The sequence below is a fragment of the Homo sapiens genome, chromosome 12 (genome assembly GCF_000001405.40).
Source record: "Homo sapiens chromosome 12, GRCh38.p14 Primary Assembly".
Lineage (NCBI taxonomy): Eukaryota > Metazoa > Chordata > Mammalia > Primates > Hominidae > Homo > Homo sapiens.
Genome location: NC_000012.12, coordinates 117,307,184 through 117,325,329, shown reverse-complemented (window position 1 = coordinate 117,325,329; position 18,146 = coordinate 117,307,184). Strand labels below are relative to the sequence as shown.

The 18,146-nt window shown below is 48.4% G+C and overlaps 1 protein-coding gene across 3 annotated transcripts in view; it reads left to right on the top strand.

Moving 5' to 3' along the window:
* NOS1 (nitric oxide synthase 1) overlaps positions 1-18,146 on the top strand; it is a 153,485-nt gene that overhangs the window by 36,297 nt on the left and 99,042 nt on the right. For 2 of the 3 annotated variants that reach the window (NM_000620.5, NM_001204218.2), the window contains exon 3: positions 13,738-13,864. In NM_000620.5, the coding sequence (NP_000611.1) occupies positions 13,738-13,864 (127 nt within the window). Of the gene's footprint in view, positions 1-13,737; positions 13,865-15,919; positions 16,014-18,146 lie in introns of those variants that run through there. The other variant, NM_001204214.2, reaches the window with a different exon arrangement.

The window sequence follows — 18,146 nt, the reverse complement described above, 5'->3', positions numbered from 1 at the left end:
CCAGAGCTAGAATGTTCTTCGGGGTCACTCTTGTGACGGGCAGTCCTGGCTTGATTCAAGCCGCTTAGAGCACACGGCTGCCTGGAAAATGCTCATCCTCCCGGTGACCTCTCCATCCAGGCTGCATGTCGGGGTGGGCATCAGCACTGGCATCCTGGATGCTGGGTGAAGTCACTGGCCCAAGAAAACCCACTGACTTGGGTGACAGTGAAGCCCACCAGTCCCAGAGCCCCAGATCCAGGACACACACGCCAGTCGGGGAGCCAAGCTGAGGTGGGAGCCATCACTGCTTCTCAGCAGTGCCTTGTCTCTCCTGCTCTGTTGTCCCCATTTTCTTTCTTTCTTTCCTCTTGGAAACAGGCTTAATCTCCTGCCACATCTCTTCCATTCCCCCATGGGACGTCCCTGTAGTTTCAGGATGGTGGCACTTACGTGGGAGGAGAAGTGATGTTTACTCTAAAGACAGTCTTATCCCTTCATCCCAGGAGGAAGGTGGCTCCAGCAGGCAGTGGCAGCAATACGAGGGGGTTTGGGGAAGGCAGATAGTGAATCCCAAAGTTTCAGCACCTTCTGTACTTGGGAGCAGTCACTTTATTTATTTATTTATTTATTTAGAGACAGAGTCTTGCTCTGTAGCCCAGGCTGGAGTGCAGTGGCGCCATGATGGCTCACTGCCATCTCTACCTCCTGGGCTCAAGTGATCCTCCCACCTCAGCTCCCCAAGTAACTGAGACCATGCCCAGCTAATTGTTTTATATTTTTTGTAGAAACAGGGTTTCATCATGTTGCCCAGGCTGGTCTCAAACTCCTAGCCTCAAATTATCCGCCCGCCTCAGCCTCCCAAAGTGCTGGGATTACAGGCGTGAGCCACCGTGCCTGGCTGGAGCGGTCACTTTAAAATGCTGCGTGTAAGAGAATATCCAGGTTACTCAGCTTGCTGCCCTGAAGGAGGGTTCCAAAGAGGCCAAGGTCCCCGATCCAGTGTCCATCTGGACCAGCAGGTCAGCCTCGCCCTGCTCTGATAACCCCTCCCTCTTGTAGAGCACTTGGTCACTTACAAATAGTTGTCAACCTCTTCCGAGAGTGTCTGAATTCTGCCCCGTAAGTAGGATGTGTAGTTTCAGCCTACTTTCATAGATGAGGGCGAGGCTCAGAGAGGTAAAAGACTTACCCAGGGTCACACAGCACTGGCCACAGGATGCTCTCCTGGTTCTACCTAGAAGCCTCATAGTGAGTGTCTAGAACTAAAGAGACAGGCCAGGTGTGGTGGCTCATGCCTGTACTCCCACATCTTGGAAGGCTGACGCAGGTGGATCACTTGAGGTCAGCCTGGCCAACATGGCAAAACCCCATCTCTGCTAAATATAAAAAAAAAAAAAAATTAGCCAGACGTGGTGGTGCGTGCCTGTAGTCCCAGCTACTTGGGAGGCTGAGGCAGGAGAATCGCTTGAACCTGGGAGGCAGAGATTGCAGTGAGTTGAAATCGCCTCACTGCACTCCAGCCTGCGTGACAGAGTCAAATTCTGTCTCAAAATAAAATAAAATAAAATAAAAAATTAAAGGGACACTAGGCAAGAGAATATGGCTGGAGGAATGGAAGTCAATTTCAACCCCAGAGAATCAGCTCAGTTGTCGGAGGCAGAGAAGAAAGCTCCTTCTGTGGCAAGCCTACGTTTTATAATTATGAGTCTGGTCAATCTCTATGGAGCACTAGAAGTGAGCCTGGCTCCATGCTACAGTCTCTATGTCAATTAATTGGTTTTCTCTGCACAGCACTTTGTTTTCCTGATGGCGAAACCAGGGCTCAGAGAGGTATGGTCACTTGTCCCAGATCACACAGCTAGCAAGTAGCAAAGCCAGGACTTGACCCCAAATTCGTACTCTTGGCCTCTACTGACTTTCTGGATTGCATTGTTGGCCACAGTGCACTTGGCTTCTAGCCATCACATTTTTTAAGACACTGGAATATTTTCTCAGAGTCTGAAAGGGAAACTGAGGCCTTGGGTGTCATCTACTAAAGAAGGTGCCCCTGGCCTGTTGTAGCGAATGCAGGTCACCCTGAGGGATGCCTGACATTGAGATGCCCAAGACCTAGCTTCATTCAAGCAACAGGAGGGACTCCCCCATTTATGGAAGGGCCCCTTCATTTGCTCTGTGGTCCTCATGCCCTTTCTTCTTCACTGCAACCTTGGTGGGCGGGCAGGCTTATCCCATGGCTCTTCCTCAGAATAAAAGGCTGGGTACCCACCTGACAACACGGCAGGGGCACAGATGGAGAGAGGGTGAAGGATGGGATGAAAAAGCCCATCCTTCATCCAAGGCTGGTTCCCACCCATGGTCTCACCATTTAAGCACCACATTCCATTCTTCTCTGAATCCCCATCATTTAGTTCCAAGCTTGACCCCAGGGTAGGCCTTAGAGGAGGGAGGGAGGGAGGCAAGGAAGAATGCATGAAAGAAGGAGGGAGGGAGGGAGTAAGGAGGGAAGCAAGGAAGGAGGGAAGGAGGGAAGGAGGAAGGGAGGGAAGGAGGGAAGGAAGGAAGAAAGGAAGGAGAGAGGGAAGGAAGGAGGGAAGGAAGTGGGGAGGGAAGGGAGGAAAGAGGGAAGGAGAGATGAAAGGAAAGAAGGAGGGAAGGAAGGAAGGAAGAAAGGAAGCAGGGACGGAAGGAGGGAGGGAAGCAGGGAGGGAGGAAAGGAATGAGAGAGGGTAGGAAGGAAGAAAGGAAGGAGGGAGGGAAAGAAGAAAAGAGGGAGGGAGGGGAGGAGGGACAGGGAAGGAAGGAAAGAAGGAGAGAGGGAAGGAAGGAGGAGGGGAAGGAGGGAGGGAAGAAGGAGAGAGGAAAGGAAGGAGGGAAGGGAGAAAGGAAGGGAAGAAGGATGGAGGGAAAGCAGGAGTGAGGAAAGGGAGGAGGGAAGGAAGGAGGAAGGGAAAGAAGAGAGAACGAACGAGGGAGGGGAGGAGGGACAGAAGGAAGGATGGAAGGAGGGAGGGAAGGAAGGAGGGAAGGAAGAGGAGGGACAGAGGGAGGGAAGGAAGGAGGGAAGGAAGAAAGGAAAGAGGAAGGGAAAGGAGGGAGGGAAGGAAGGAGGGAGGAAGGGAAGGAAGGAAAGAGGGAGGGAAGGAAGGAGAGAGGGAAGAAAGGAGAGAAGGAAGGAAAAAGAAGGAAGGAGGGAGGGAAGGAAGGAAAAAGAGAGGGAAGGAAGGAAAAGGGGAAGGGAGGAGAGAGGGAGGGAAGGAAGAAGAGAGAAAGGGAGGGAGGGAGGGAAGGAAGGAGGGAAGGAAGGAGAGAAGGAGGAAAGGAAGGAGAGAGGGAGGGAAGGAAGGAGAGAGGGAGGGAAGGAAGGAGAGAAGGAGGGAAGGAAGGAGAGAGGGAGGGAAGGAAGGAGAGAGGGAGGGAAGGAAGGAGGGAGGGAGGGAAGGAAGGAAGGATTCTGTTCCCCCATGGCTTTCTCTACAGCAGGGAAGAGGACTGGCTCGGTTTTTGCTTCGAGGACTCACGCTAGTTAGAATTCTCCATTAGAACTGACCTCAGCATGACCAATGGCAGTATTGATTCCAGGACTGTCTGAGTCAGAAGCACTCCTCCCAGACCACACTTGATGTATCTCAGAGCTTGGAATCCCTCTGCTGGGGCATATTTCAATTAAGGAACTAAGCCCAGTAACTTAGCCTTCAACCTGAATTTCCACCTTTTATTCTGATCTTGCCCACTTGAACGTAAGCAGCTCCCCATCCACCCTTCCTGGGGATTACTCTCGCTTTGTACCCTCTCCCCATCTGTGTCCCTGCCGTCTTGCCAGGTGGGTACCCAGCCCTTTATTCTGAGGAAGAGCCATGGGATAAGCCTGCCCGCCCACCAAAAATGATGGGTAACCAGGGGGCTTCTCACCGCCTTTCATGGAATGAATGTTCCATGAGCATCCATTCTGCCCCTGACACTGTACTCAGCCCTGGGAATTCCATGGTGAACCTCTGCCCTTGGAGAATCATATCAGAGATGAGAAATCAAAAATAAATAGGCCGGGTGTGGTGGCCCACGCCTGTAATCCCAGCACTTTGGGAGGCCGAGGCGGGTGGATCACCTGAGGTCAGGAGTTTGAGACCAGCCTGGCCAACATGGTGAAACCCCGTCTCTACTAAAAATACAAAAATCAGCCAGGTGTGGTGGCACACACCTGTAATTCCAGCTACCCAGGAGGCTGAGGCAGGAGAATCGCTTGAACTCGGGAGGCAGAGGCTGCCGTGAGCCGAGACCGTGCCACCGCACTCCAGCCTGGGCAACAGAATGAGACTCCATCTCTAAATAAATAAATAAATAGACACATGCAATCATCTTAGATAGTGGTACATGCTGTGAAGGAAATAAAACAGTGATTTGAAGAAAAGGGGCTTGGGGTTTGGTAGAGCATTAGATAGGGGGGTCAGGAAGGGGCTTTCTGAAAAGACAACATTTGTACTGAGGCCAGAAGATACCAACCATGTGACATCTAGGGAAGGGTGTTCCTAGCAGAAGACACAGCAGGAGCAAAGGCCCTGAGACAGGAACAGGGTTGGGACGTGCAAAGGACAGAAAGCTCGAGGGGCTTGAGCATAGTGAGTGGAGGGAGAGTGGTGGGCAGTGAGGCTGGACACATGGGTGGGCCCATCAACCACCCTACTGTCATCCCTGTCCCCGCCCCCATTCATTCATTGTATCAGCTTCCTATGGCTGCATAACAAATCACCCCACACTTGGTGGCTGAAAGCAATACACCTTTATTCCCTTATCATTCTGACGGTCTTAAGTCTGAAGTGGTCTCAGTGGGCTGATATCAAATCAAGGTATCAGCAGGACTGTCTTCTTTCCTGGAGGCTCTTGAAGAGAACTCATTTCCTTGCCTCTTCCAGGGTCTAAAGCTGCATTCCTTGCATCCTTTAGCTTGTGGTCCCTTCCTCCATTTTCAAAGCCAGGAGCAGAGCATCTTGCTTCCGTGGTGACATCCCTTCTGTAGTCAGAGCTCCCTCTGTAGCCCTCTTATCAAGACACATGATTAAATTGGCCCACGGAGATAACCCCAGGGAATCTGCTCATCACAAGATCTTTAACATCCCATCATATCTGCAGAGACCCTTTCTCCATCTAAGGAAACATATACAGGTTCAAGGGTTTAGGACCTGAGATCCTTGGGCTGTTATTCAGCCTACCACACTCATCTAACCAATGCCATTGAGCAATGCTGTGGCCCGGCCCTGGGCTAACCAATGGCTGTCTCTGTTGCCATCCCTATGAGGTCTCACTGGACTAAGTCCACTGACCTTGCTTCTAGCCCCTCCTTCCACTTTACCTCTCACCAGCTACGTACTTTAGGAAAGCCCTTTGACTTCTTTGGGCATCAGTTTCCCCATCTTTACAAATGAGATGTGGACCAGGTGAGCCTTAAGGTTTCTCCTAGAACTAGTGTTCAGGTTCCTTGTGAGGGCCAGTGGCTGGCACGCTCATCACAGGCCAGGCCACACCTGGATCGTAGGAACTACCCCATTCCACCTCTCTGGAACATTCCTCCAAAGAGAGGAACTCAAAACATCCTTTTAGGGCAAGGGTTGCAAACAAGGTTGAGGACCACACACAGTTTTCCCATGAGTTTTATTTGGCCTGCAGTTTTCTAGAAATGTGAATTTGCGGCAAAATCAAGTTTCCAACCTCTTAAAAAAAAATCCACAGAACTGTTAACACAGAATCTACATCTTTGTGAGGCAACCAGTGGCAGGAGCTGGGAAGGGGCCACTGCGGGGTCTCTCATCCTCCAGCATCCAAACAGCCCAGTCCACACATTGACCTCACTAGCCTGTCTTCTGCAGACATATGAGTTTGAGAATCCTGCCCAGCTTTGGTGATATTAGCAATTAAGTCACAATTGTGACAGAGCCCAAAGGCCCTCTCCTCACTTCCCAGCTGCGGCATTCATGGTAGAATTCCTCCTCTTGAAAGCATACTTTTGGCCAGGTGTGGGGGCTCACGCCTGTAATCCCAGCACTGGGAGGCCAAGGCAGGAGGATTGCTTAAGCCAAGGAGTTTAAAACCAGCCTGGGCAACAGAGCAAGACCCCATCTCTACAAAAAATTTTAAAAACTAGTCAGGGATGGTGGTGCATGCCTATAATCCCTACTACTCAGGAAACTGAGACAGAAGGATCACTTGAGCCCAGAAGTTCGAGGCTGCATTGAGCTATGATCATGCCACTGTACTTTAGAGACCTTGTCTCTAAAAATAATAATAATAATAAAGCATACTTTTCTGTTTAACAAGAACTTCCCACTCCTCCCACTCCAAGCATGATGAAATCTAGAAGAAAAGCTTTGCAGAGACCCCAGACCCAGCCTCCACAGCCTCCAAGTCTTCCTACTTTAACTCAGCTCCCAGCATTCCAGCCCAGGTGGAGGCAGAAACCAAGGCTGTTGGAGCATGCAGGGCCAGGAGAAGCAGGAGTCAGAGAGAGTGGAGTGTCTGCTGAAAAATGTGGTCAGGGCCTCCTGCCAGCACCAGCTGCTCCTCGGCGGCCTCCTTGTCTGGTTGGCCGGAACAGGCAGCAGCCCCCGCCTCCCTGTGCCCAGCACACAGGCTTGGCCCACCTGCTCCCCTCTCAGGTCCTCGGGGTCCATAAGTGGTCAGCAACGGGCCAATCGACCCACCTTCAAACTTCCTGGGGAATCAAGCCCAGGACCCCTTTTCCTTCCGTGCAAGAGGTCGGGGAACCTGGTTCTTAGGAAGCCTCAGTTGGAAGGATCTGGCAAAGATTCTCAGAAGGTTTAGAGATGCAAGAGCAACTTTTGGCTTGGGTATGATCATCCAGCTAGTGAAGTGGAAGAAAAAAGGGTTTAGTTTTGCTCTTGCCAGAAAGCATAGAAAATGCTTGCCAGGAGGGAGGCAGAGCTCCACACCTGGCCTTATAGGAGGATGGGAGTGAAGAAAGGAAAGGCTGACATCTCTAACCCAGAAGGAACCTTGCTGCCTACTGCTAGAGCCTGGGCCAGAGAGTTCCCAGGGAAATGGGTCTCCCAGTGTGTCCATGGACCACCTGGGGTGCTTCTGATGATGCAGATGCTAGGGTTCCCTCCTAGACCCACTACTCAAACTCTCTAGGAGGAGAGCTCAGAAATCTGAGGGGTGTGTGTGTGTGTGACAGGGTCTGTTTCTGTCTCCCAGGCTGGAGTGCAGTGGCACAACCTTAGCTCACTGCAGTCTCAAACTCCTGGGCTCAAGTGATTCTCCTGCCTCAGCCTCCCCAGTAGTTGGGACTATAGGCAGGTGCCACCACGCTCAGCTAATTTTTTTATTTTGTGTATAGACAGGATCTCACTTTGTTGCCCAGCCTGGTCTGGAACTCCTGGGCTCAAGCAAACTTCCCACCTCGGCCTCCTAAAGTGCTGGAATCACAGGCATGAGTCACCATGCCGGGCCAGGAATCTGAACTTTAGCAAGCCTCTCAGTTGATTTGGATGCACCCTGGAGTTTGAGAACCACCAAATGTGACCACCTGATAGCCCTGGCCACACTGGCCACCACAATGCCAAGCTCATTGGGGGATGGCTTTTCCAGAGAGAGAAGGACACCTGAGAGGGGTGGGTGAGGGCCATTTAGTGAAGGCGAGCTCCTCAATTACATCTGGGAACAAGGGACAGCTGGTAAATAAGTCCTTGCAGATCCTTGGGTGAGCATAGAGCAAGGATGGGGAGGAACTTGGAAGCATTGCGTTGAGATGCTCAGCCACATCTAAACCACTGAGAGTGCCTCTCAATGGTTAGGAGTACAATTTTGCCTCCCAGGGGGCACTTTGCAATATCTGGAAGCATTTTTTTGGTTGTGACAATTTTGGGGATAGGGGTGCTACTGGCATCTAGTGTGCAGAGGCCAGGAATGCTGCTCAAACATCCTCCAACGCACAAGACAGTCCTGGCAACAAGAAATTATCAGGCCCAAAATACCAGTAGTGGGGAAGTAGAGAAACTCTGATCTAAACTGAGATTATTCCAGGCAGCTGGGCAAGACCAAGACTCATGAGCACTGTTAAAGGGGAGTTACCATCCAGACATCTCAGAAGTCAAAAGAGGCCCTGTCCATCTCCTTCTGTGAGCTCTCAATATATTTTTGGTGAATAAATAATAAAACAGGCCAGGCGCAGTGGCTCACACCTGTAATCCCAACGCTTTGGGAGGCCGAGGCGGATAGATCACTTGAGGTCAGGAGTTGGAGACCAGCCTGGCCAACATGGTGAAACCCTGTCTCTACTAAAAATACAAAAATTAGCAAGGCTTGGTGGTGCACGTCTGTAACCTCAGCTACTCAGGAGGCTGAGGCAGGAGAATTGCTTGAACCCAGGAGGCGGAGGTCACAGTAAGCTGAGATCGTGCCACTGCACTCCAACCTGGGTGACAGAGTGAGACTCTGTCTCAATAAAATAATAATAATAAAAAAACAGAGTTACTAAATTTATATTTCACAGATGAGTATATTCAACACATCTACCACATTTGGAGAGAACATCTAACATCCAAGTTTGAGGTTCTTCTCAGATATGAGGTCTAACCAAATGCTGCCCTCCCAGAGGCCCCCCACATAAGCCCTATACACAGTGACTCTCAGCTGGGATAACAGTGAAGAGACATCTCATCTGCAAGCTCTTGTTGCCTGCTGTGTGACCTTTGACAAATTACCTAATCTCTCTGGGCATCCGTTTTCTTAGTTCTAAATGGAAATATACATCACTCATGTTTAGTTAGTGCCGATTATGTGCTAGGCATTTTACATGCATGATCTCATTAAATTCCCGTGACAGGTGGGACATGAAGTGGGCCGTCAAGGCTGAGTAGGAGTTGGCTCTCAGCAGAGGGAACATGAAAGAGCAACCTGGGGAGCTTAAGTATAAAGGTAAGGGTGGACGTGGTGTGCTCCTCGGGAAGAGGGAGGAGTCAAGAGATCAGGGCCAAGAATGATAGGAGGTAGGAGTCTGGAAGGGTAGTAGAGAATTATCGAATTCCTGGGCTCTGTGAACAAGACATGGCAGCTCAGAAAGTATCTGAGTGTAGACTTCCCCACGTGTGCCCCAGCCCCCAGCAAAGATGCCCCCTGGTTGGAGCCACGTGTGCCTTCAATTCCCAGTCTTTGGAGACATTAATAGGTTTCCAGCGGCTGCACTGTCTGACAATATAGACTTAAGCCACATGTGGCTCTTTAAATTTACATCAATCCAAGTTAAATAAAATTTAAAATTTAGTTCCTCCATGACAATAACCACATTTCAAATGCTCAATTGCCACATGTGTCTAGTGGCTATAACATGGGATTGTGCAGATATGAGACATTTCCATCATCACAGGAAGTTCTACTAGACAGAGATGACTTAGAGGAATAGTCAGTGTTCTACACAGAGCTAGAAGTTTCTTTCTCTGTTTCCTTCTGATATTCCATAAGCAGTAAGACTGATAGCAGGTGCCACACTGCCAAGTATTATAAGCTTTACCTCCCTTAATCATTGCAGATATTATTGACCCTATTTAACAGATGAGTAAACTGAGTGTGAGACATGAAGTGTCCAAAGTTGCACAGTTTATAACCAGCAAAGCCAGGACTTGAACCCAGTTCCACCCAATCCACAGCCACATCCTTAACCAGCATGCTACACTGCTCCTGCAACCCCAGCAAACAGGTGGATCCAGGTTGAACAGACTTGTGGCAATAAGCCAGATATTTCCCTCAGACCTGGTTATCACTGACAGATTGTGGGCTGAGAATCGAACTAAATCTCCTTCTGATTTTGCTTCTGGGTGAAGGGAAGCAAAATAGTTCAACCTGGATGTTTCTCATGGTCCCATATTAAAAATATCCTTCCTGGGTGGATCACTCGAGGCCAGGAGTTCAAGACCAGGCTGGTCAACATGGTGAAATCCTGTCTCTACTAAAAATAAAAAAAATTTTAAAAATTAGTTGGGTGTGGTGGTGTGTACCTATAATCCCAGCTACTAGGGAGGCTGAGGCAGGAGAATCACTTGAACCTGGGAGGTGGACGTTACAGTGAGCCAAGATCACGCCACTGCACTCCAACCTGGGAGACAGAGCAAGACTATCTAAAAAAAAATAAATAATAAAAATTTTATGTGCTCATCACACAGGACTCCAAAATTAAGTTTTTGTTGGCAAAACACTTCAACTGCATTATTTAAACAAAGTCTTAATGGATTTTTTTTAAAAAAAGAATGATGGTAAAAGAAACTCTCTCTGCAAATTCAAATTCACATAAGATGAACCATGTGATCATTTCCAAGTTGCCTAGGTAATTGTAGCTTATAATTTTTGTAAATTGGCTGCACTTAGCAGGAGATGTTGGGTTACTTGCTCTGTAGCCTCTGGCTTAGAATAAGCATCCTAACCAGTTTTTCCTACCTCTGTTTTAAAAAAGGAAGGATCTCCTGTAATCCCAGCACTTTGGGAGGCCAAGGCAGGTGGATCGCCTGAGGTCAGGAGCTCGAGACCAGCCTGGCCAACATGGTGAAACCCCATCTCTACTAAAAATACAAAAATTAGCTGGGCGTGGTGGTGTGCGCCTGTAGTCCCAGCTGTGTGGGAGGTTGAGGCAGGAGAATCACTTGAACCTGGGAGGCAGAGGTTGCAGTGAGCCAAGATCACCCCACTGCACTCCCGCCTGGGTGATAAAGCAAGACTCTGTTTCAAAAAATAAAAAAGGAAGGATCTTGGCAGCCCATCAGTCACACCTAGTTTCAAATCCCAGCTGTACTATATGCTTACGGTGGGACCTTGGGAAACTTACATAACCCCTCTGGGTTCAGTTTTGTCATGTGTAAAATGGGGGCTTTTAATGTCTGTTGAAATTAAATGAAATAACTTCTGTGCAAGTACCCAGAATATTATAGAGGCTCCAAATGCATTAACCTCCTCCCTTCTCTGCTGAATCCTCATTTATGGTCATGTGATATAGGATCAGTAGTTTCAGAGCTGAAAGGGAACTGAGTGACATTTAGAGCAGCACTCTCAACAGACCATACTTCTGTTTACGATCATGTAGGTAGCCGTTGACTTGGGAAATGCCTGTAATCAAGAGCCACTCTGGGTATGTTTTGGTGACATTTTAAAGGGTAAAACAGAATGTTCCCTCTGATGAATGCAAACCTCTCCAGGCAGAAAAGCAGAAGTGGTTTTGATGTGGGCCACAGGGACAGCATGGAACACTGCAGGCAGGGGATCTGGGTGGCTCAGAGGGAGCCGCTGGAGGGGTCACTGGGGATCGTGCTCTCAGAGCTTGGACTGTGGCTTCTGATTCATCCCAGGTGACTGTCATTGTACCAGATTGGGGGATGGGGGAGTCCCCTAAGCTAGGACCATAGAACAGAGGGCAAGACAAGGGCCAGTCTTAATGCCTGGGACCCAAACCAAGATGAGCCACAGGGCAAGCTGCATTGCCCAGTTAGGGAACAGACAGAGGCCATGGTCAGAGTCAAATTGGATAGGGGAGCCAAAAGGAGAAAGGCTGTTGGGAAGTAGGAGGGCAGTATTCAGAGAGTAGAAGGACTCAGAGAGTGAGACAGGTCTGATGAGGCCATCTGGATTTTGGTGCCAACTCCTATCTCCATCTTAGAGGGTGGCCAGCCTGTGGAACCTAGCTGAGATCACCTCATCCTGAGCCTGTTAGAGTTCAGGGACAGGAAGCCAGGAAAACTTAGTGGGTAAGAAGTCGGATTCTGGCCGGGCATGGTGGCTCATACCTGTAATCCCAGCACTTTGAGAGGCCGAGGCAAGAGGATCACTTGAGTTTGGGAGTTTGAGACCAGCTTGCACAACACAGTGAGACCCTGTCTCTACAAAAAAACTTAAAACATTGCCAGGCAGGGTGGTGCACGCCTGTAGTCCCAGCTACTGGAGGGGCAGAGGTGGGAGGATCGCTCGAGCCTAGGAGGTCAAGGCTGCAGTGAGCTATGATTGCACCACTGCACTCCAGCCTGGGTAACAGGGCGAGACTGTCTCCAAAAAAAGTCAGGCGCTAGCATCCAGAACAAGCCTGGGTTTGAATCCACCATCACTAGCGTGTGACTTAGGCTAGTGACTTAGTCACTCTGAACTATAGTTTCCTCGTGTAATGATGATTGTGAGGATGATGCTGGTGGTCGTGAAGATGCTGGTGTGGTCCTGATGCCGAGGAGGAGGAAGAAGATGGTGACAATGGTGATGCTGCTAATGAAGGTGATGGCACTGATCATGAAGATTAGGATATGATGAGGTTGAGGATGATAACGATGAGGGTGATTATGGTGATGATGATGGTGATGGTGATTATGGTGGAGGCTGATGAGGAAAGTTAGATGATGATGATTACAATAATCATGATGGTAACAATGAGAATGATGGTGGCTATGGTGATGATTGTGGTAGTGGTCGTGATAAAGATGATGGTGATGGTGGTGGTGATGATGATGATGATGATAGTGACAGCCCCTACTTTAGAATGGATGTGATGAGTGGGCTGGAATACTAGGCTTTGCCACTGTGTGACCTTGAGCAACTTAGCTTCTCTGTCTCCCTTACCCCTTCCATAAAATGGTGATTAACAATCATTCCTGGACAGGTTCAGTGGCTCACGCCTGTAATCTCAGCACTTCAGGAGGCTGGGGTGGGAGGACCACTTGAACCAAGGAGTTCGAGACCAGCCTGGGCAACACAGTGAGACCCTATCTGTACAGAAAATAAAAAAAAAAAAAATTAGGCAGACATGGTGGTACACCCTTGTAGTCCCAGCTACTCGGGAGGCTGAGGCAGGAGGATCACTTGAACCCAGAAGATCAAGGCTGCAGAGAGTTGTGATTGTGCCACTGTGTTCCAGCTGGGATGACAGGACAAGGCTGGGGAAAAAAACGAAAAACAGTCATTCCTGCCTCAAAGGGTTGTCACAAGAGTTAAATGCACTAAAACACATGGCCAGGCATGGTGGCTCACGCCTGTAATCCCAGCACTTTGGGAAGCTGAGGCAGGGGCATCGCTTGAGCCCAGGAGTTAGAGATCAGTCTGGCCAACACAGGGAGAACCCGTGTCTAATATAGATAAAATAATATTTTTTAAAAACCCACATGTAAAGTCCTTGGCACATAGTAAGCGTTTAATAAATGCTATCTCTCCTTATTAATAGTATTATTATTTTTGTCATTATGTTCCCTTTATTTTCCGAATCATTCTGTTTGTCCTGAGCTGCTATTGTTCAAAGCCGAAAGTCTTAGCCAGGGTCAGAATAACTTATTACCCAAAGCCCACAGGACCTCTCTATCCTTCCTACCTCCTACTTTTTCCACTGGTAGGTGTCATGAACAGTAAGTTGTCCAGGGGTTCATGGTACATGGAGTATTACTAGGAAACAGGCCTCCTGTGTTCCCAGATCCATGGAATGAAGAAGGGAGAGGGACAAGCAAAATCCTTCTCCTTGCCATCCTGAAATGATGTCCACAAAGTTAGGGATACATCAGCTGTCAAGGTCACCTTGGATGAGCTCCCTTTGTGATTGACACCCAGAGCTGCCTTCCCACGTGTCACTGTCCGTCTTTATGAAGCAGCAGGATGGGTACCCAAAGCTCGCTGGCTCATATGGAGTTATGTGAGTGAGCTACTGAGGTTCTGTACAGACTCAGGACTTCCAGGTCAAAGCAACCAGCAAGTCCCTCCTGATGTCCCCTTCCTCACCTGCCCCACCTTGCCTTTCAGAGATTTGGACGGCAAGTCACACAAACCTCTGCCCCTCGGCGTGGAGAACGACCGAGTCTTCAATGACCTATGGGGGAAGGGCAATGTGCCTGTCGTCCTCAACAACCCATATTCAGAGAAGGAGCAGGTAAGTGCTTGATGCCAAGCTGGTACCACTGCTTCCCACGCCTTCTCGACCCCCTCCCAGGTGGGAAGCTGAGGGGAGGGAAGCTAAATCCTAAACTGTGTCATGATGGAAATCAGCCGCCGTGGCTGGAGAGCTTGGGAGGCCGAGGTCAGGAGTGCTTATCCTCGGATGTGGATCTCGACTTTGTTTTTGTGTGGTTTGGTATTGTTTGTGAGATGCCGTTTTTCACATTTTAATTCTGTTTCTTCTGGGAAAGGCATTCACATGATTCCAAATTTAAAAGATATAAAAGATACATGGTAGCTGGTCATAGTGCCTCATGCCTGTAACCCCAGCATTTTGGGAGGCCAAGGCGGAGGATAGCTTGAGGTCCAGAGTTCAAGACCAGCCTGACCAACATGGTGAAACCCCATCTCTACAAAAAATACAAAAATTAGCCTGGCATGGTGGCGGGCGCCTGTAGTCCCAGCTACTCAGGAGGCTGAGGCAGGAGAATGGTGTGAACCTGGGAGGCGGAACTTGCAGTGAGCCGAGATTGCACCACTGCACTCCAGCCTGGGTGACAGTGCAAGACTCCATCTCGAAAAAAAAGACAACCAGCCTGGGCTACATAGCGAGACCCTATCTCTTTTAAAAAAAAAATTTTTTTTTAATTAGTGGAGCATAATGGCATATACCTGTAGTTCCTAGCTACTCAGGCGACTGAGGCAGGAGGATCACTTGAGGACAGGAGTTCAAGGCTGCAGTGAGCTGTGATATAGCACCTCTGCACTCTAGCCTGAGTGACAGAGTGAGACCCTGTCTCTAAAAAAATATTGAAATAAATAAGCAAAAAGATACATGATGAAAAGCTCTATCTGTTCCTAATCCTAGTCACATAGTTTTCCTCCCCAGAATCAAGCAATATTAATGGTTTTTGTGTGTTCTTTTAGCCGTGTTTTATGCATTGACAAACACACACATTAATTTTGAATATTTTTACACAAGTAAGAGCACATTACACATGTTGTTTTATATCTTGCTTTTTCACTTATTAACATATCTTATAGATTAGTCCCCATTAGTGGGTAAAGAGGATCTTGGTTCCTTTTTTATAGCCATATAATATTTCATTCTGTGATCATCCTGTAATTTATTGTATCAGTCCTTCATAATGAGCCACTGTCAATATTTTGCTATGACAGTGCCGTAATGAGTGACCTTGTGCCCATACCTTATTTGGCACATGGGCAGGCTTATCAATAGAATAAGTTCCTAAAGGCCAGGCATGGCGGCTCACGCCTGTAATCCAACACTTTGGAAGGCCGAGGCAGGAGGATCACTTGAGCCCAGGAATTTGAGACCAGCCTGGGCAACATGGCAAAACCCTATCTCTAAAAAAAATAACAAAAATTAGCTGGGTATGGTGGCACATGCCCGTTGTCCCAGCCACCCTGGAGACCGAGGTGGGAGAATCACCTGAGCCTGGAAGGTCAAGGCTGCAGTGAGCTGTGATTGTATTACTGCACCACTGCACTCTAGCCTGGGCAACAGAGCGAGACCCTGTCTCAAAAAAACAAAATAGAATAAATTCCTAGAAGTGGGATTGTTGGGCCAAAATTCACGTACATTTGTGATTTTTGTGGTACTTGCCATAGTGGTTGGATCAATCTTACCGGCTAACTAGGAGACTGTTTCTTCACAGCCTCGCCAACTCCATCTGTTATCCAACTTTTTAGTCTCTGCCAATCTGTTCAGATGTGTTTTGACAGCTAAGTCAATATCATTTCCAAAGAGTGGCTAGGTTTGGCTGGAGATCAGCAGCACCTTTGTCTTACCTGTCCAGTAAGCTGATGGGCCAGGCCAGGGCAACCCTAGGGAATCGTGTGAATTTCAAACCCATCCTCTGCATTGCAGTGAAGTTGGCGTGACCGGTGGGAGGTCGAAACATGGGGGTGGCCTAGGTGACTCAGCAAGTGATGACCGGCTTCATTTTCCTGATGCTTGGCCTACAGATGGCAGCTTTCACTGCCAGCGCACCTAAACAAGGCCTCAAAGTTCTCTACACAGCTTCAGCGGGGAGGATGAGACATTCTAGAGCCTTGGTGGTAACTGCTTTCCTTAGCCGCTGATGGCTGGCCAGGAAGATAAGGACATCAGGGATTCTGTGGTAGGTCAGACCCATGGTCCCACTAGCTGAATGTCCCTCTAGCAGTGATATCTGGAAATGTTTGGTGGAAAAGCACAACTGTAGACTTTTATTATGTTGTCCTCAAAAGTCAAGACCACACTGAAGCATTAGGAAACTATTCTCCATTCATGATTAAATGAACAAATATGGTTTAAAGCTCTTCTATATTTTCTTTCTTAATTCAAAACAAAGAGGTATGGCCATCATATGAGCCCTCACAAGAGAAAGAAAGACAGCAAGAGGCAGCCTCGGGCCAGATCTAGCCTGCAGACCTGATTTGTTAGGTCTACCCCGTATTGTATTAAGAGATAATTTATAGTTATGTTTTAAATGTATTGCCAATGTTTCAAATTTTTACATAAATATATCTACAGCTTCTCTTTAAAATTTACATAATCTATGGCCAGGCACGGTGGCTCACACCTGTAATCCCAGCACTTTGGGAGGCCGAGGGAGGCAAATCACGAGGTCAAGAGTTCAAGACCAGCCTGACCAACATGGTGAAACTCCGTCTCTACTAAAAATACAAAAATTAGCTGGGCATGGTGGCGGGTGCCTGTAATCCCAGCTACTCAGGAGGCTGAGGCAGGAGAATCGCTTGAACCCAGGAGGCAGAGGTTGCAGTCAGCCAAGATCATGCTACTGCACTCCAGCCTGGGCGACAGAGCAAGACTCTGTCTCAAAAAAAAAAAAAAATTATATAATCTGACCACATTGCGCCTATACGCTGTTTTTTTTTTGTTTGTTTGTTGTTTTTTAGAGACAGGTCTTGCTCTGTCTTCCAGTCCAAGGTACAGTGGCACCATCCAGGCCAAGGTACAGTGGCACCATCATAGCTTACTCACTGCAACCTCAATCTCCTAGACTTAAGAGATCCTCCCACTGCAGCATCCCGAGTAACTAGGACTACAGGCTGGTGCCACTAGACCTGGCTAACTTTTTATATTTTTTTGTAGAAACGGGATCTTGCTATGTTGCCCAGGCTGGTCTCGAACTCCTAGTTCAAGCAATCCTCCCTTCTCAGCCTCCCAAAGTGCTGGGATTATAGGTGTGAGTCACTGCAGCCAACCATATTCTTATGGGGCAACAATCTGCATAGACTGAATAGCAGCTGCCCCCTCTAGACAGGATGTGGCTTTCTAGTTGGCCACAAACCTCACCACTCCCTATTGTCTCCCTCTTATTAAGGCCAGTGTCCATTGTCATTTATAATAGCATTAGTGCTTTTGATTTCTTATACTAGGAGGAAAGTTAAATCCTTTTGTACCCATGTCTCTATTATTATTATTATTATTATTATTTATTGTGAGACAGAGTCTCTGGTGCTGTCTCTGCTCACTGCAACCTCCGCCTCCTGGGTTCAAGCAATCCTCCCCCCTCAGCCTCCTGAGTAGCTGGAATTACAGGTGTGTGCCACCACACTCGGGTAATTTTTACATTTTTTGGAGATGGGGTTTCACCATCTTGGCCAGGCTGGTCTCGAACTCCTGGCCTCAGGTGATCCACCTGCCTCAGCCTCCCAAAGTGCTCGGATTACAGGTATGAGTCACTGCACCTGGGCCCATGTCATTTTTATAAGTGGCAGGTAGAGATGGACCAAGAGGTTCATGTTTTAAGAAAGATTTTTTTGGCTGGGCACAGTGGCTCACACCTGTAATCCCAGCACTCTAGGAAGCCAAGGCAGGTGGATCGCTTGAGCCTAGGAATTTAAGACCAGCCTGGGCAACATAGCAAAACCCCGTCTCTACAAAAAAGAGAGTATAAACTATTAACTGGGCCTGGTGGCGTGCACCTGTAGTCCCAGCTACTTGGGAGGTTGAGGCGGGAGTATCGCTTGAGCCAGGGAAGTTGAGGCTACAGTGAGCCCTGTTAGTGCCACTGCACTCCAGCCTGGGTGACAGAGCAAGAACCTGTCTCAAAACAAAAACAAAACAAAAAAAAGCACCTAACAACATTCTTCATTTCTACACACACAAAAGTCTTTCTTTTTAAATATGCAACTAAATGTCCTGTTTGGAAGTTACCCAGCCTTCCTTACTGATTTAGCTTACCCCCTACCACCTCCAGGTATCCATTTGTAATTCCCGGTCTGCAGTAATCCTTGAGATCTCG